General features: G+C 35.1%; 1 protein-coding gene across 66 annotated transcripts in view; it reads right to left on the bottom strand.

Annotated features, from left to right (window-relative positions):
* Positions 1-18,532, bottom strand: part of ANK2 (ankyrin 2) — a 678,115-nt gene that overhangs the window by 208,346 nt on the left and 451,237 nt on the right. For all 66 annotated transcript variants that reach the window (NM_001386186.2, NM_001386148.2, NM_001354269.3 and 63 more), the window contains one exon: positions 874-975. In NM_001386186.2, the coding sequence (NP_001373115.1) occupies positions 874-975 (102 nt within the window). The remainder of the gene's footprint in view (positions 1-873; positions 976-18,532) is intronic.

The following is an 18,532-nucleotide window of genomic DNA, read 5'->3' as shown; positions in this document are numbered from 1 at the left end:
GGATAAGATACCGGGCTCAGTTTCTGAAAAGTTGTTTTTGAAAGATTTATTAATTTCAGTGGTCTATAAAGTAAACATAACTGGGTTCAATATATACCAGGATATAGAAAAAGGAATTTATATATAATTTAGAATCCAGTAGTGACATTTACCTCCTTTTAACTTAAAATTAGCCAGAATTATTCACTTCCTAGTTAGGTCTCTGTCAAACACATACACACAACACACAACACAACATTTAGCATTGAAGTGAATACTGCAGTCCACTAGACACTTTAATTCATGATGTAAAAATCTTACTCAAAAATAGCACAAAAATGTCAACGTTGGTACCAAATAATATCCAAAGTGTATAATATTCTCTAAAGTCCTTATGAAATGGACATGATGAATGGATACATCATTTACAATAATAATTTCAAATTATTCTCATTATGAGCCATATTTTAAAATTAATTAGGAGAACATTTTATCCTCTTATTTCTGTATACTAAATTGTAATAATCAGTTTCCCATGAGTAAAGTGCATATAGTCAAGAAGGAAAGAAGCCAAGATCTGGATTACTAGATGATAAATGAGAAGTAAAACATCATTCTTGGTCAAAATTCCAGCTAAAGGTGGCCCAAATCATTTCACAAACAAAATTGACATTCAGTTGTTGTTTTTGATCTATCTGCTTTTTCAGCAACATTAGCTCTAGATACAAACATCTGATACTTGAAAAGTTGGTAAGGGGGCAAAAAATGGGATTTCAGAAGTCTGAGTCACTGATATTTTAGTATTTTTAATAAAGACAAAAATAATCTTGGGCTCTGAGAATGTAATGAGTGTTCCTTCGTTGCACAACACAGAGCTAGCTGCCATGTTCTTACCTGATTGCAGGTATTGATGTCTATGCCCCCCTTCAGATATTCCACAACTTTGTCCAGGTTGCCTGCTCTGGCAGCACGGAGGAAGCTTGCATTGCTGTCAGACTGCGAGAAAAATAAAAGACCTTTAATGAACTATTGATGAAATAGAAATGTATCCAATACAGAAAGACAAGAATGTTTACACTGAAGTCAGAAAAGCTTTAGTTGGAAAAATTTCAATAATACGGAGTTTAAAACATTGAATAATCATTCACTATATAAGGTAGCAACTTCACAATATTTCTAGAGAGTTGTCTAAGTACATTAAAAGTCAATATTTTAGAGTATAAAAGAACCATTAAAATGGAAATAATTGTTACTGCTTTATTCTAAATCTTCAGCCACAATTGAAGACGTGTTGATGCTAGCCTCAAGTACTGCTATTACTCATTCATTTTAGCTTCAAGATTCTAGTGACTTTATACTGAGCTAACCTCAAGTCAAAAAAGAATCAGAAAGCTAAAGAAATTAAAGCTACTGGGTTTTTTTCTTTCTCTTTCTTTCCTGTTGGTTTTCAGATGCTTCTGAGAGAGAACACTGAGTATGGGTCACTTGGCAGTCATCTGGTCTCATTAGAAGGGAATAACAGAAAGCTCCGAGGGTGCTTTGAGGAAAGGGGATAGCACTACTTCGCAGGTGTGGACTGGGCTGATGCAAATTTTGTGATCCCAGTGATTCTGGATAAACATGATTAAATTTAAACCACCTGACATAATACCAGACTAAAATCTTTTGGTAAAGATGATCACTCTGGATGGAAACTGCTTTTTAAGTTTCTCATCTTCCCACACTCCTCTCAAAATCAGATGCTGGGAGACTCAGCTGAATTCTGCCCGTGAAAAGTCCGAAGAGAGTTGCTCCAGATGCACAGTTACAATCACACGGCCCCCTGGCTTGGTTATAAAGTCTGACTTTTAAACCTTAACATAATAACGATGATAAACTTTTGTTGGGTTCCAAGACACCTGCATAACTGTTATAATTTTTTGTCATATAATATCTGACTAAAGAGAAAATGGAGGCATGAAAAGGGACACAATTTACCTATTAGGAATTGAGATGAAGGTTTGATGACTCTTAATCAAACATTCTCCTCACTAGGCTACACTGCCTCCCTCCCTCAAACAAAGTACTTGGCAAGAACCTCTTGGCATACTCGGTCAGAGCTATTTATTATGATCTGTGGTGATGTACAGAGATAGAAATGGAAGTATCTTCTCTGGGAGTTTCAAATATGGAATTACTTGCATACTGTTAAAATGATTTACACATGGAAAGACTGAAAACCATAGAACTAAGTTACCTCACTTTTAACCCAAATACCAAGTGGCTTATATGTTTATAAATGAGATAGATTATTTATTAAGAGTTGAAAGGTGTGACTGAAATCTATACATCCAGAATTCATGCCCTGATTCTTTAGAAATCCATCATCATATGATTAATATCACACTGTTCTTCACTCTTCATCCTTCCTGAAGTCTGTACCAATGGCAGAGTGCCCCCAAGAATATCTGCAATGCTGCAGCGACTGAACTGTGACTCGTTTTTAAATGCCTATTCTATGAAATTTATTTTGCTGTTTGCAGCATATGCTAAATTCCAAGAGGATTTCCTACCTTCAGGTTTGTTGTCACAGCACTTAAAAGTGAGTTATAATACTGTGTATTATGTTATATTAATATCTCACAAGAAACATTAATTTTACTATAAAACAACAAAAATTAAATAGTATTAGGTTACAGATATAAAATACGAACATATTATTCCTGTATATAAAGTTTTTCCAAAACAAATCTGTGTGCTATATATTATATTAGAGGTTGTTCCTAGAAAGTACTTCCAATTTGTACATAAAGCAGATGCTTATAGGTAACATTTACTGAGGGTTTAGTGGGTCAGGAACAGAGCTCAAGGAGTCACATGTATTATATCACAAATACAACAATACTATGAGAAAAAAACTATTCTTATGCCCATTTAATAGATGAGGAAAGAGATTTAGAAAGTTTCCAGAGTCACGTATTTACACACATTTATTTAGTGGAAGACCTGAGATTTAATTTATGTTTATCAGTTCAGAGCTGTAAGTTTTATCTGCTATCCTATCCCACACCTTCAAAGTATCACAGTGAATATTACTACAGATTCCTAGCCTGTGAGCTCTAGGTTTATTTCACCTGCATTAACCCCAGTTATGCCTTTGGTCTACATATTTACTCTGTAAATCATGGCACTTGCTAAATAAAGTGCCTCAGCTGGAGAGAAAATTCTTGACTGCCATCCCTACCCTCACAACTATCACCCCTCTATATGCACCTAGAAAATTAAGAGCCAATCTGAGATGAACTACTTAGAAACACATTCATGTGAGAATGAGGAAACAGGTGATAAAGGATGCTTTGCATTAAGAAGCCAATTGTCTGTCTCCCTCTACATGCTTAACATGATTAAACTCAGCAAAAGATCAGGTTGCTCTATTGTTCCTATAAAAAAGAATGCTGTGAACAGGTGGAGCCAGAAGAAGAGCCTGACACCAAAGGAATGAAGAGACACCTAGAAACACCAATGCAGCAGCCTGGAGTGGCAATGATGGTCTGATGGGGCCTCAGGTATTGCTGAGGAGTATATAATAGACCATCTTTGAATCTTCTCTGGGGATTGGACATGACATTGAGGATTGCTTTTGCCGTTATAGAGTAACAAAAAGTTTTCATAACTGGTTTTCTCTTTTCATCAAACTTTTAAAAAGTGAATGCATGTCAAAGTTATAGCAAATCCTTAGAATTTTAGCAAACAATGCTCCCAGTGTTCTGAAGGGTCTGGGTCCTATGGAAATGTAATATCTGAGCCATTCTGCCAAAGACCACTTCAGCAGTTGAGTCATAGGAGACTTTTGGGTAAGTTGAATTCTTCTAGAACCCCTTTAAGGGATTTGGTTTCCCCCAAAGTGAGAAAATGCATTAAATGGAAATATTATCATAAAATGGTCCAAGAATGTAAATTCCAAAGACAGAAATAAAATGAGGTTTTAAAAGTTATGTATGAATATTGACATTATTGAAGCCCAAATTTATATACCTGCATAGAAATACATATTCTTCTCTCCCTTCCACATAGACACAAGCACATCGTACCCTACAATGAGGTCAATCTGTGATTAAGGCCCTTGACACAAGCGCTTTGGATAAACAGTGGTTAGCCTGGTTATCTTCAATCAACACAGAGATGAAAGAGGATTCAAACATTCAGGGAGAGAGATACAGCAATTTTTACCATGCTGTGTTTCCCAACTGATTATGATAAAAGCAAGAGTTCTAAAATCAAGTATAAGTAGGAGGAAAAGCATGCTTTTAAAATAGACTGTTTTCTTTGCTCAACCAGGAGATTTCACACATAAAAGCAAAATAAAGAGAAAATGAGGCAAAAGCAACTTCTTTGGAAGAAAGTCTCAGACAAATGTAAGACTATCCTCTCCCTGCTTTGCTGCTTTATGTCCCTAGGACTCTCAAATCCTAAAACAAATTGTGCTGATGCCCATAGTCAAACTCTGGACAAGGAATTCCAATGCTGAGCCCCACCTATTTTAATCTGCAACAGATGGATGTCATTAAAACTTGCCCCCTTTATAACCCTGGAGTGACATCTCAGGCCAAGAAAGAAAAATTTCCCATTAAATTATTCTTGACACAGTTCTGTATGTTGTCTTGTATCTGAATATTAGAAACACAGAACAACTTTCTTAGCACCCAGCAGTGTGGACATGAAAGGCAGGGAGGAATGTGCATTCATAGAGCCACATTATATCCCCAAGGAGTGCTGACCCAAAGGCTCTAGGGGCATGTCCACAGGGGCCCATGAGCTTGCTACAAGTTTTTTAATTCTTTAATTCTGTGCTTACGTTTCAATAATAACCTAATAAAGAAAATATTAGCATATTCCAGGTCCTCTACATGGCTACCCTATATGTGAGTATAAACATATAACTTCGGTATATGTCTTTGTGTTTATAACTCAGTACATAACAAGTGAAGTCCAAATGATATACAGATGCATAATAGACAGAACATTTTGCTGTAGTACAGAGACAAGAATGGTCAGAGAATCTGTTCATCATACATGGCAGGACATGACGAGCCAAAAGTGCCTGAGCAGCAGCAGTCAGTAGCATATTAACATATGCTCAGATGCTATCTTCATATAGTCCAACGTGCACTGACCATTAGCAGTGAGTGTAATAGAAAATCCACAGTGAAACATTTTTTCAGTTTTCAATTTTAGCTTTTATTGGTTTGCGTACACAATTCTATCCCAATAGTAATTTCCTCTCCAAGCAAATAAAGAGAGCTTTCAAAGATTATATTCTCTTAAAGCTATTCTCTGATAGCTATAAGTTTTATTAGCTTGAAGTAGGAAACAACACCTTAAAGTTATTAAGAATAGTTTGTACAACATACTTACAAAAAAGGTATTCTTTATATTATTTTTACTGGAGTCAAATTCAGAAACTAAATACAGAACTCTGAGGTTATTTCTTTTTTTATTACTAAGCACAATATGTTAAATTTAGTTTCAGACATTTCCATTCATTGTATTAAATTTATGCCCTTTATTTGAATAATATTATAAAACTTACATAAGTTTTACTTAATTTGTCAAAGTTTCTTTTTTATAGTGGCACAAGAATTTAAGAAGTTTTATGTGGCTTTATGTTTTTAATACTTAACACTATAATAAAAATAACACTGGAGGTCATAATTTTTTATATACTTTAAAAGAAATCAATAGACTATTCAAGTTTGAGAACCACTTGTCTAAAACGGTGACCCAACCAGCAGTCCCTACTAGCCTTAAAAGAGTGACACTGAACACCTCCCCCGTCACAGTCTCTGGCTTATGGTGCGCCCTACACACATATTTGCTGACTGGCTAACCTTACGTAAAGCACAGGCTCCTTGTGGAATTTGAGGAATCTGCTTATTTTCTTAGGAAGCAGTCATTCCTTTGTAAAAACAGGGTCATTTACCTGGCTACTCTGAGATCTGCGTTTTTATAGCAATACAAAATAAATAAAACCTAGTAAAGTAACTTGAAGGGAAAAACTTTAATAAGAATACCAGGAAAATAAGGGACATTTTTACAATTTTTTAGGTCTCTTCCTAGGCATGTAGGATAAGTTAAAATCCATGTCTAGCAAATTGTGACTTGTCCGATCTTGGGTCATTGTATGTCTCAATTTCCTTATCAAAAAAATAAATGTACTTTATAGAATTGCTAAGGAAAAAATATGATGATTTGAGCATGCTTACCCCACTGACAGGCACAGAGGACACTTACTGAGTTTGTTTTATATTAGTGGCTTTTCTTGTGAGGGATAAATGCAAAATAACAATAATAAATCAAATTATCGATGCACACACATGACTTTTTTTAAATGTGAAGATTCCTGGCGTTACTGTGTTGCCAGCAGGCCTAAGCTACACCAGAGTACTTAAAAATACACTGAGATGTACAGGTATAAAAGGACAAAATGAACCAGAACTGGGTGTGGTCTGTCACCAGTGATGAAGATGCTGCAGAGAACTCTCTTTGTGATATCTGAATGCTTGTACCTACAGATTTATACTTCTGTCCAAGGACTGCTCTATTGTTTAATTAATTCAGCTCTTTCATTAGCTCACATTATTATTGCTGTCTTGTCGAAACCAACAATTTGGGTTCAGCCAAGAACTGCATGCTGGATATACTAGGATTTTTTAGAAAGAATTGCAGAAGTTACTTTCTTGCAGTCAGAACACATAAGTGATATAAAACACTTTACACTGCAAAATCCCACTTGACAATTTCTATTCAGCTGCTACCAATTTATAAACCATAAATTTGTACACTCTGGCTCAAACATGCAGGTTAACCTACATATATGGTGTCCTTCAACAGCTCTTTAGATTGCTACTAAATGAAAATTACTGACAGGTCCCCTAATCTTCAGAGAGAGTAAATGCAACTTCTCAAAAGAGTGTTCTTAATCCAATGGCCTTTGTGTTAAGAAAATTGGTTCAGACATAAAAGTGAACTCTATAAATGCTTTAGTTAGGGGAAGAAGAAAGAGTAAACTTAAGTGTTTATATTTTTACTTTTGAATGTTATTTAAGATAACTATTCACACAAAATTGAGAATTGGAATCATAACAATATCTAAGTTTAACTAAACAGATAAATTCTACCTAAATATTTTAAGTGAGAGATTATTTGAAATTTCCTTTTTAAATAAAGACAGCAATTTTTCCTTTAACTTAGTATTACATTTTAACACTAATTTTTGCTAGCACACTAGCTAAATTATATCACTTATCAACGCTTTCCCTAAGATACCAACCATGAAAAATAAGAACCACCTACAGCATACCAATTCTATCTCTTTCAAAGCATTAATTAAGATTATTTTGCAAGGTTGTGTCAAGATTCATGAATTCCTTTCTAAAATTCTTGTATTTTAAAAGAGAGTAAAATTGGAATATTTTACAGCAGTGGGAATAGGAATGAATGAACCATATCTATATGCACCATCAATAGATCTCACAAAGATAATGCTAAGCAAAACAAGTCAGACACAAAAAAGGACATGTCTTTTATTCCATTTATTAAAGTTCAAAAACTGGCAAAACAAATCCATAGTGTTAGAAATCAGTAGTAGTTTCGGAAACAATCAGAAAGGGGCTTTTGGTTGCTGATAATGTTCTAATTCTACATTCTAGTTCTGGGTGCAGTTTAACAGGTATGTACACTTCCTACATATCAAGATGAGCATTTATAATTTATGCATTTTTCTGTATGTGTGCTATAATTAAATAAAATATTTACTTTAAAAGATGGTGACCTGGCCGGGCGCAGTGGCTCACACCTGTAATCCCCGCACTTTGGGGAGGCTGAGGAGGGTGGATTGCTTGAGATCAGGAGTTTGAGACCAGCCTGACCAACATGGTGAAACCCCATTTCTACTAAAAACACAAAATTAGCCAGTCACGGTGGCAGACACCTGTAATCCCAACTACTTGGGAGGCTGAGGCAGGGGAATCGCTCGGATCCGGGAGGCAGAGGTTGCAGTGAGCCAAGATCACCACTGCACTCCAGCCTGGGCAACAAGAGCGAAACTCTGTTTCCAAAAAAAAAAAAAAGGTGACCCTAGTTTAGGCAACAGAGTGAGAACCCATCTTTATAAAAAATTTAAAAATTAGCTAAATGTGAGTAGTCCTGAAAAATAAGTTATTCCTAATTTATAAACTGATTACAAAAATCACAGAGAAGTAAATAGGTTTAAAAATTAGTATTCAAAAGCATTATCTTTTTTTCACACTGGAGGCAATTTTTAAATGCAGACTATATTATGTGATATTTTTAATGAAATTTGTATTGTATATTTATGGTACAGTCTAAGAGACAATGCAGATTACTAAATACATAGAGTTTTGTTCTTTAGCTCAAAAGAATGCTTACTAAGAATCAAACTCTGGATAATTTTTTATTAGTTGTTCTGATATTCATGAGGCTTTGTAATTACAAAAATTGCATAATTCTCTTTGATTATACATGAATTATTATCCTTGGTATATATTGTATAAATAGCATTACTCCCCTGTTCTTCAACATGTTTACTACAAATTCAAGAAGACCAGATCTGGTTCAGAGATCTCAGTTGTTAAATTTTCCGGGATAAATATAAGTGAAGTAAGTTATCAGAGACAATTTTATACATTAAAAAGTTCTGAATACTCATTTTTTTATGGCATTTACTTTTCTGAAAATTGAATCAAAATATTAATAATGTGATGCTATCCTCCAGTGAATGAGAATTACTACCAAAAAGAAAAAAACCAAAAAAACAAAAACTAGTAGGAACAAAAACCACAAACTAGAAAAGATATTTCTGATGAAATATCTTTGATAACTATTTGATAACTATTTCATACTTCACATTCTCTATGTGCTTTTAAAACTTTAGAAAGTGCTTATGTATGTATGCATATATATATATACATATATACATACACACTTATATGAGTGTAAATATACGCTCATTTTTGAAGAATTATTAAACTGAAGAAATGTGAAATCTGTATTTGGTATTTCATGACATAATAGAAGTGTGACTTAAAAGATAACTTTGTTGTGTTGATATTAGTTTGGCTTCATAAAATGTCTCTATAACTATGCCAGTTACTAAAATGTTAATGACAATGAGGCAACAAAATCTTTCACTAAAATGGGAACTTTAACAAAGATAGGTGAAAACTTTCTTAGGTGTTTATTATTCTGTTAGTTTCCTATTGAACTTTATGGTGAATTTAAAATTTAAAGTTCTCGTAAGGAACAAAATCAATAGGTTTTGATTACTTGTACTCCAGGCATGATAACTCTGAAATGCCTACAGAACTCAGAAGTTCCAACACTGAACACGTCAGTATTTTCTGAATTTGAATAGGAACATGGTAAGTTTATAGATGAAAATATTTGTGACTTGTATCACAACATTTCCAAATTTCTGCTAAGAAAATCAGAGTAACAGGGAAACATTTTGCTACAGCTTTAGGTCAGATGTCAGATTAAATAACAGTTTGAGGTCCATGTTAAAACTTACCACACCTATCTAAGGCTTCAGATTTTTTCAAGAAATAAGATACTCTTTGAGAGGCCTCAGCTACACAGATTTAAGACATTACTGCTTCAGTCAGGTAAGCACCTTAGTTTCTTTAGCCATTAAACTCTGTAGCAAAAGTTAATATTCCTTCCCAAAGAGTCTATCATACTTCTAGAGAATAACATAAGAACTAGAAGAATATGATTCCCTCATTTTTGTTACTGGTTCCTCTTGGTGTGGAGGTATCTTAAAACATCATAGTTGAATTCCACATACAACCTCTAACCATACTGTTTGAACAGATATATTTGAAAAGTTCTGCTTACTGTTTTATGTTCAAAATGCTGACAATGTAAAGGAAATCAAAACATTATACAAGTCCTATGTTGACTATTATGGTTTCCAGATAATTTGCCCTAATATTTTTAATAACCAAAGTAACATGGAAATCTGTACTTCTTCAGGCCAGCAATAGAAATAATCAAATCTTACAGCTCCACATTGGATATTTAATAATACCCACAGCATCTATATATGACTGAATTCTAAATAGTTCTCAATTATTGCTTTAGGATCTCCAACTGGTATTAATTGGGTATAAAATAATGAAAAACTTATTTTTAAAACAATTTGTATCACAGACCCAATCTCTTTCCCAATTTTCAACTAGCTAGATAGCTCTGTAAAAAATGTTCTGCCAGCATCTAAAAGTCAACATGCCCCAAAATGAATATAGGCCCAAGCATGGAAAAGCTGACAGAGTTTTTACATATTGTACACAAATATCCAAAGGAATTTCCTTTTGGATCATCACTGGTCATCAAAAAAAAAGTTGCTTTTATAAATGAATTACAACCACCTATAACAACATTTGGGTCGAGAGAAAAAAGAGAGAACTTTTGAGATCCTTTGGTAACAGTAGTTTATTTAATTCTTTCTTTAAGAAATATTCTCTATACAAAACTCTTTTCATTCCCTAATCAGCATGTTAAAATATTACAGGATGTTTAGAGAAAAAGATATATTAGAGCTCATCCCACTGCAATACTTAAGGATTAGGATACATGAACCTGAATTAGGTCTTAGCCTCCTTCAAGGCTTTTAGAACTGTCAGGATATGAAAAACAAACCCAACCAAGTGAAAAAAACCTTTCATCAATTTTTCATTATGCTACGCATCCGCATCTTATAGTGTTAATTTACTCTTGCCCCCTTGAGGTAGGCACCACATTTTTATCCCCATTGGTCTCCTTATTCTGCAGCTTCAGAGACCATCTGCTCTGAAGCAGACATCACTCAATCAGAAGCAGCTTCGTGACACAACACAGATGAGGTGCTGACCGCACCCCAAGGGCTGCACACACTAAAAAGTAGATTGCTTGTTTAGTATTAAATTATTCAGGATTGAACAAAAAATAGATTCTTAAAACTTCACAATTACTTAAACTACGGAGACTATTTTAAAAGAACTTGCATATATTTTTCTATCATGGTACATTTTCTCACACTGTTGATCTTAGTGTGGCCCCATGAAGATGCACGTGGAAACACTGGTTTTTCATTTGTAACAGTCTAATATATATACATATGTGATTGATTTTCCTAGGAGATATCACTTAATTATAGCTTAACCACACTGTGACCATCTGACTCTACTTGCCTAAATATCTCCCGCCTTGGCCTCCCAAAGTGCTGGGATTACAGGTGTGAGCCACCGCACCCAGCCTAGTCCCTTTTATTAAACTGTTATTTAAGCTTATTGTTGATATAAAAGAAATGTCCAGAATAGACAAACATACAGAGATGAAAAACTGGTAAGTGATTGCCTGGGGCCAAAGGATGCCATGGGGAGGACAAGGGGGAGGGGGTAGAGAAATGGAGAATGACTATTGATGGTTACAAAGTTCCTTTCTTGAGTGATAAAGATGTTCTGAAATTTATTGTGGTGTTGGTCGCACAACTCTGTGAACATACTAAAAACCATTGGATAATATACTATAAATGGGTGAATTGTATGATATGGGAATATATCTCCATAAAGCTGGGTTTTCTTTTTTTTTTTTTTTTTTTTTTTTTTTTGAGACGAAGTTTCACTCTTGTTGCCCAGGCTGGAGTGCAATAGCACAATCTCAGCTCCCTGCAACCTCCGCCTCCCAGGTTCAAGCGATTCTCCTGCCTCAGCCTGTGGAGTAGCTGGGATTACAGGCATGCACCACCATGCCAGGCTAATTTTGTATTTTTAGTAGAGATGGGGTTTCTCCATGTTGGTCAGGCTGGTCTCGAACTCCTGACCTCAGATGATCCACCCGCCTCGGCCTCCCAAAGTGCTGTGATTACAGGAGTGAGCCACCGTGCCCGGCCAAAGCTTGGTTTTTAATTTAAAAAAAAAGTCCATTGTCATCTGTAAGATGACAAAAGCCCATTTTTCTAATGTGTATATAATTTTTGAGAACTTATTCATTCACCCCATTCTCCAAAGTATGTGGGTCGCAAATGGGGATGCACAGCTTTCAGCATCTTTTGCATATTTGTGACAATTTACATGGACACTGAGTGCAAATGGTGAGCTTTAGAAGGAAAAATTCCAATTCTAATAAGTCGACATTATACTGAAAGATATATATAAAGGCATTTTGCATCCCTTTTCTCACTCCCATCATGCCAGCCCACTGGTGCACAACAGTGTCAACAAATCTTTTTAACATAAAATTTTTTAAGAGACTAAAGAATATGTAATATGTGTACTGTATAAGAAGAAAATTGCTTCCCAGTTTAACTCACTGAGTTGACTTGATTAAATTACTGGAAGGATCTAGCTGTATCTATCTAAATATGTAAACCTACTGGAAAAAAATTATAGCTTTCAATTTCTCAAGCGAAAATAAATCAGTCAAACAGCAGGTTATTTTATGATAAATAGTTGAAATAATTTAATCTGTCCTTAACAATGAGTTATTTAGCTGAGATGAGAATCAAAGAAATATTTTTGAAGTACCTACTATGTACCAGGCGCTGTGTTAGATGCTAGGGATTGAATGTAGAAGAAATAAACATGATTCATCCCCTCAAAGATTTTATAATCTTTGAAGTTTAAAAAAAAAAAAAAAAAAAACCTTTAGCTACAAGATAGACCAGGAACAGAAGTGGGAAAAGTAGACCCAGGGAGATCCATGTAGAGGCAGTAGTCTAAGCAATAGGTGTTTGTTTGTTTGTTTTACAAACTTGTTTTACTATTTACATTTAGAATAGAGATTGCAATATAGTGTTTGATAAAGGTTCCTGCTGATAAGTCAGGTGGAAAACAGAGCCAGCCCAGGGAATAGCAAGTGCAATGTCATAGGGGCACGAAAGAACACAGTATAGAGAAAACTATAAATTCAGTATAAGGAGTTATAAAGATCATATTGGAAACAGGAAAGAAGTAAAACTCTAAAAGTAAAGTAGGGCCCAGACCATTAATGTTTTGTATGTCCTAATAGGGAGATTGAGTGTTACACCATAAGTAAAAGACAGGAAAAGGCAAGATCAGAATGTCCATTTTAAAATTACCACTCTAGCATGTGATGAGGATAAGCAGTGTCATCAGGGACATGTGAAAACAAAGTATTAGTCATATATAGAAAAAAAAAAGCTGTAAAACTTGGGGGAAATTGACTCTGAAAGTTTATGGAAAAGGAGAAACTAGGGAAAAGTTGGAGACTTCTAGCTTTTGCGTGTAATAAGTGACACTTTCAATAAAGATCAATAATTTAGGGGAACAGAATACCCTAAAATTGGAGAGAAGAACACAGTTTGGTTTTGACCGGATTGAACTTGAAGTGCTGTCACTGTAGAGTAGGGAATTAAAAATGCAAGGCTAAAAAGTCCAAGAGACGGGCATGGACTAAAGATAGAGGCCATAGAGTGACCTCTGGGAGATGGCCCAGTTTTTCTGTAGACACTGGATTTCGCTTCACTCCTTCCCATTTCTCTGCTCATGAATGTCCTAGGAATAAGGAAGGGCCTCTTGTAATGCCCCTGGAAGGGAATAATGCTGACCCATCAACATATTTAATGAAATACCAGGCAGTGAGAATAAAATAAGGAATTGCAGCGCATACATGCACATGCACACACACACACACACACACACACACACACACACACACGAGACTAAAACAAAATTTTGTACAGGAGTTTTCTCATGAGCTCAGAATACTAATATCATGCAGCTGACATTTTCTTATTTTTCCCATAAGACCAGGGCACAACTGAGAGGCCACTTTATCCTCATTGGATGTGACCTGCTGTAACTTTCTAAATTTACCATTGTGCTATGAACTGTAATTGTCAGGAATGTTTGGGCTATTCAATTTGAATTCTATGCAAGGTATAGCACTTACATAATTTTACACTAAAATGTAAAAGATAGCATTGGCTGAAAATGTAGGTGTTTGATTAATTATAGTACATACCACATGGAGTAGAAAAAAGATGAGCAAATCAAGTATTTGTAGCTTGCACTGCCTTTTAAAAAAAACTTAGCTTATATTGCAAAATTCTTCTGTTGGAACTCTGTCAACAAAAATCCACGTAGTTATTACTGTATTTCAAAGAATATCTGAACGTCTTCTGAGGCAGCTTTCAAAACAAATTCTTGATTTGTTGGTGTAAGAGTACTGGCATCAACTCTAGAGCGAATTTTGAAAAGTAAGGAAATTCCTGATTTAAACACAACTAAAAACAAAAGCAAGGTTAGCTAATTCATCTCATGGAACTAAACTTTAGCCCAGATGCCCAAGATCTTCTTTTAAAAGAAAAGTCAGACTTAAGCCAGGCTTAAGGAACAATGAAGAATTCTTTACTAGTTGTCTTTTATTATTTGACTTCTACAGGAATTTGTATTAAGTGGGCCCTGTGAGTCTATTTCCCAGAGGCAAGGATAGCTTCTTCAGAACCCTGCCTTAAATCTACCCTCAAGTTTGACCAAGTCCATTTATTCCGGGGTCCCCAACACCCTGAACATTCAATCGTTTATAAATATGTGTTGACAATGAGTCAGAAGCATAGCACTGTGCTAGATGTTGTGCATGGCTCAAGTGGGGTCCAAATTCATCTGTTTACGTGTCTATATCCCCAGTTGGCCTGGCCCTCCAAGGTAGAAATAGTCCATGACTTATTCATTTTTATTTCCACTGTCCAGCACAGTACCTGACACAGAATAGATGGAGAAGTATTTCTGGAAATATAATATAAGGGAAAAACAATATAAGGGAAGATGTTCAACAGGGTGAAATTGGCCAATAGGAATGTCAAGCAGCATTGGTCGATATGAATTAAACTAGTGAAAATTTGGGGGATCAAGTAAATTTTTTGCAGACTTACTAAATTTTAACACTTGGTTTCAAACCTTGATTAGCAAAATTTATATCTGCTCTTATTAATTCACCTGAAACTCATTGCCTAAGATTACATTTGTTTTTCAAAGTTTCCTTTACCCGCTGGATGTGGTGACTCATGCCTGTAATCCTAGCACTTTGAGAGGCTGAAGCAAGAGGATCACTTGAGCTCCAGGAGTTTGAGACCAGCCTTGACAACATAGTGAGACCCTGTCTCTATTTATTAATTTTTTTAAGTTTCCTTTATAATTCTATCAAATATCCACAATAAAATCAAACAATGCTGAACTCTTTCTAAGGGTTAATGAGTAAAGTGTGTCTGTATCATTACTATCATACAGCTGAAGTCATGGATGACTAATGAATTTAGTAATACACTTGACTAGACAGGCTCTGCAGCTCGACATTCTCTAACTTTAATTAGGTTAACAGATAAATGACAATTATGACATTACTAAATAAATTAAATACAGAAAGAAACTAGATTCTTGCTGATATTAACTACATAGGAACACTAGTACTCTTTTTTTAGAAATAAACTATAGGCCAGGTGCAGTGGCTCACGTCTGAAATTCCAGCACTTTAGGAGGCCGAGGCAGGCAGATCACCTGAGGTCAGGAGTTTGAGACCAGCCTGGCCAACATAGTGAAACCCCATCTCTACTACAAAAATACATATATATATATAAAAATTAGCCGGGCGTGGTGGTGGGTGCCTATAATCCCAGCTACTCAGTAGGCTGAAGCAAGAGATCACTTGAACCCGGGAGGCAAAGTTTACAGTGAGCCGAGATCGTGCCACTGCACTCCAGCCTGGGTGACAGAGCGAGACTCCATCTCAACAAAAAGAAAAAAAAAATAAAGAAATAAGAAACTATAATTTTACTCTTCTCTGTGAGGAAAAAGATTTTATGTGAAGCAATATATAAGCTTTAATTATTGTATAAATTATCCATGAAAGGGCAATTACTGACTACTCAGTATTTTTTAATGTAAAACATGCAGTAATATATTTCAGTATCCCCTGTAATTACAGTAAGATTAATTAACCTTCTAAATAAAAGAGATCATTGGTATGTCAAAATTATTCTGGCCAAGATACGAAGGAGAAAGTTTGTTTTCTTTATAATTACTATGTATATAAAATGTATCTCTCTTCAGTCATAGGGAGTCTATATATTTCATTTTACATATACATTTTTACACAAATATCTACCTGTAATATAATATAAACTAGTGTGTGTGTGTGTGTGTGTGTGTGTGTGTGTGTGTGTGGAAGGAAAGAGAAAGAGAGAGAGAGGAAGTCATATATGCTACTTCCAGAACAAAATTTCAATTTACTTGAAGGTGGAAACCATGCCTTATAATTCTTAGAATACCCAAAACCTAATTCAGTGCCTAAAATATATCAGCCAATAATGATGATTACTATGATAACAGAACCCTGGGGAGGATATTACCTTACCTTTTTTTATGTAAAGCTGACAACAGTTAATATAAATACAAATTACGCTAGCTTTAATTACTCAAAAAATAAACTTCAAAAATCACTTAAAGAAGAGTTAGATTATTGTGGGATATATGAAAAGATAACAGAACTTTTTTTGGCAAAGCAGTAAACTGTACCCAGAAAGATCTTGTTCATTAACCAAATTTAACTTAGTTGAAATGCCAAATTAACACCATAGATACCTCATCTCTAACCCTGACTAAGAACAGGGTAGCAGGCTACCCTTGTCTCAGTAATTAAAGGGCAAGACTGTGAAACTACGAGATGTTAAGAATTTCAAATAAAAGGTGTTTAGGTTGTGCCATTTCTCATTGGCAACCTTCAAAATGGGAGCCCAGCATATAATGTGCAGCGTGGTGAGAACCTGGGTCTACCTTAAAACCCTGTGGCATTCCACCAAGATAGAGTTGCCTTCAGCTGGAGATGCTCCACTTTGATTTGGTTTATTTTTTTTTCACATATGATAATCATAGGATATATTAGTAATTGAGTTTCCTCCACTGATAACATCTTTTTCATAGATATAACTATTAACTTTGTACTAATAATGTAGTCATGACAAAGATTTGGTCTGACCAAAAGCCATCTCTTCTGATCATGGTTTCAAGTAAGAGAATTACTCATATGTGTTTTGATTGGGTTTATACTGATGTTCACTATGTCTTAAGATAAACACTTGCTAAAAGGTGCATTGAGCAAGCAAGGCAATTCTTCATTTTTACATGATTCATATGTATTTATTCAGTTTCAGTGATTCCTCACTGAAATGTTTGAATTTTTTCCTACACAACATGGACTGACATAACATCAAATTAGGATGCTACATGCCATCTAAACTTGCTTTTTCTTTTAAGTCATCTGTCTACTCAAGAGACTCTACAATATACAATTTGCTTTTGTGTATACCCTCTGGCTATTCAACTAGACTGTCAGCTCCTTGAGGGAATGAATGAGACCTTGCACCTTACATATTTTGTTCTCACACCTTTTACCACAATATTAATAGCTAACTTTACTATATTCCAAGCACATTTATAATCTTATTTAATCTTCTTAAGCTTCCCAAATGAGAAAACCAAGGTCTCATAAGGTTAAATGATTCATCTGTATACTTTGGGGTAAGAAGTGGCAGACCCGAAATTGATAACTGGTAAGTCCTACCATAGAGACCACCATTCATTACTACTTCCCCAAGTTCCCCCAAAGGTGCTAAATACCTTTCCACTGTTGACCGACATATAGGAGTGGCTGCTGCTTCCTGCCTGGGATGAAGCTACTGCAGTCACATTCCTGGCTCAACTCTCATGTTCTGATCTCCCTTGATGCTCAATTCCCTTTTTTGGTTAGGGGCAGGGCCCAAAGTTTGAACCATGTGGCATTGCCACCTGTGGAATACCAAGATTTCTTTTCTTTAATGTTGCTAACCCAAGAGCTGTGACTTTTAAGGGTATGGTTATATTATTTCAAGAGTGTGTCAATATTATACTCAGTAAGTGAATCCAGAGCAATATCTCTATCAAAATTATCATGATTAACATGCAAAGAAAAAAATTTTTTTAAGCTTCACAGCAATGGTAGGCTTCAAAGACAACATTTGTCCCTCTGTTTCTATAACAGCACGTAGACTGTTACTAGCTCATATTGACATATCTCCCTGAGTGGGATTTAAACCTGGACCCCTTCCAAGATAGATGAAACCTCTCTCAGCTGTTCTTAATTAATCACCATACTTGCTGTTTAAATGTTGATTACACCTTTAAGAAACTATAACACTAAATCTTTTCACAGTAAAAACTAAGTAGTAGAAATGAAACCCATAATAAGTTTTCTCTCCCAAATTGATTGAAGAGCTATTAAAGCATGGATTATTAAAAAAAAAACCTTTAGGTTATAAAACCTTAAGAAACATAGAAATACTTATTTCATAAAAGTATTTGTATAAAACTACAAAATGTCTATGCCCTTTCATGCCTTTTTTGCTCTTACAATCTCCCTTCTCTTAAAAAGGATATATATGTAAAATATAGCCTTCCCTAGCCTTTATGTAATGGAAGTAGACAAATCTGTTTGTGTGTCACACACACATATATTTTTATAT

This window comes from Homo sapiens, chromosome 4 (assembly GCF_000001405.40).
Source record: "Homo sapiens chromosome 4, GRCh38.p14 Primary Assembly".
In the NCBI taxonomy this organism is placed as follows: Eukaryota; Metazoa; Chordata; class Mammalia; order Primates; family Hominidae; genus Homo; species Homo sapiens.
Note: the sequence above shows the minus strand (reverse complement) of the source record. Positions and strands in the feature narration are given on the sequence as shown.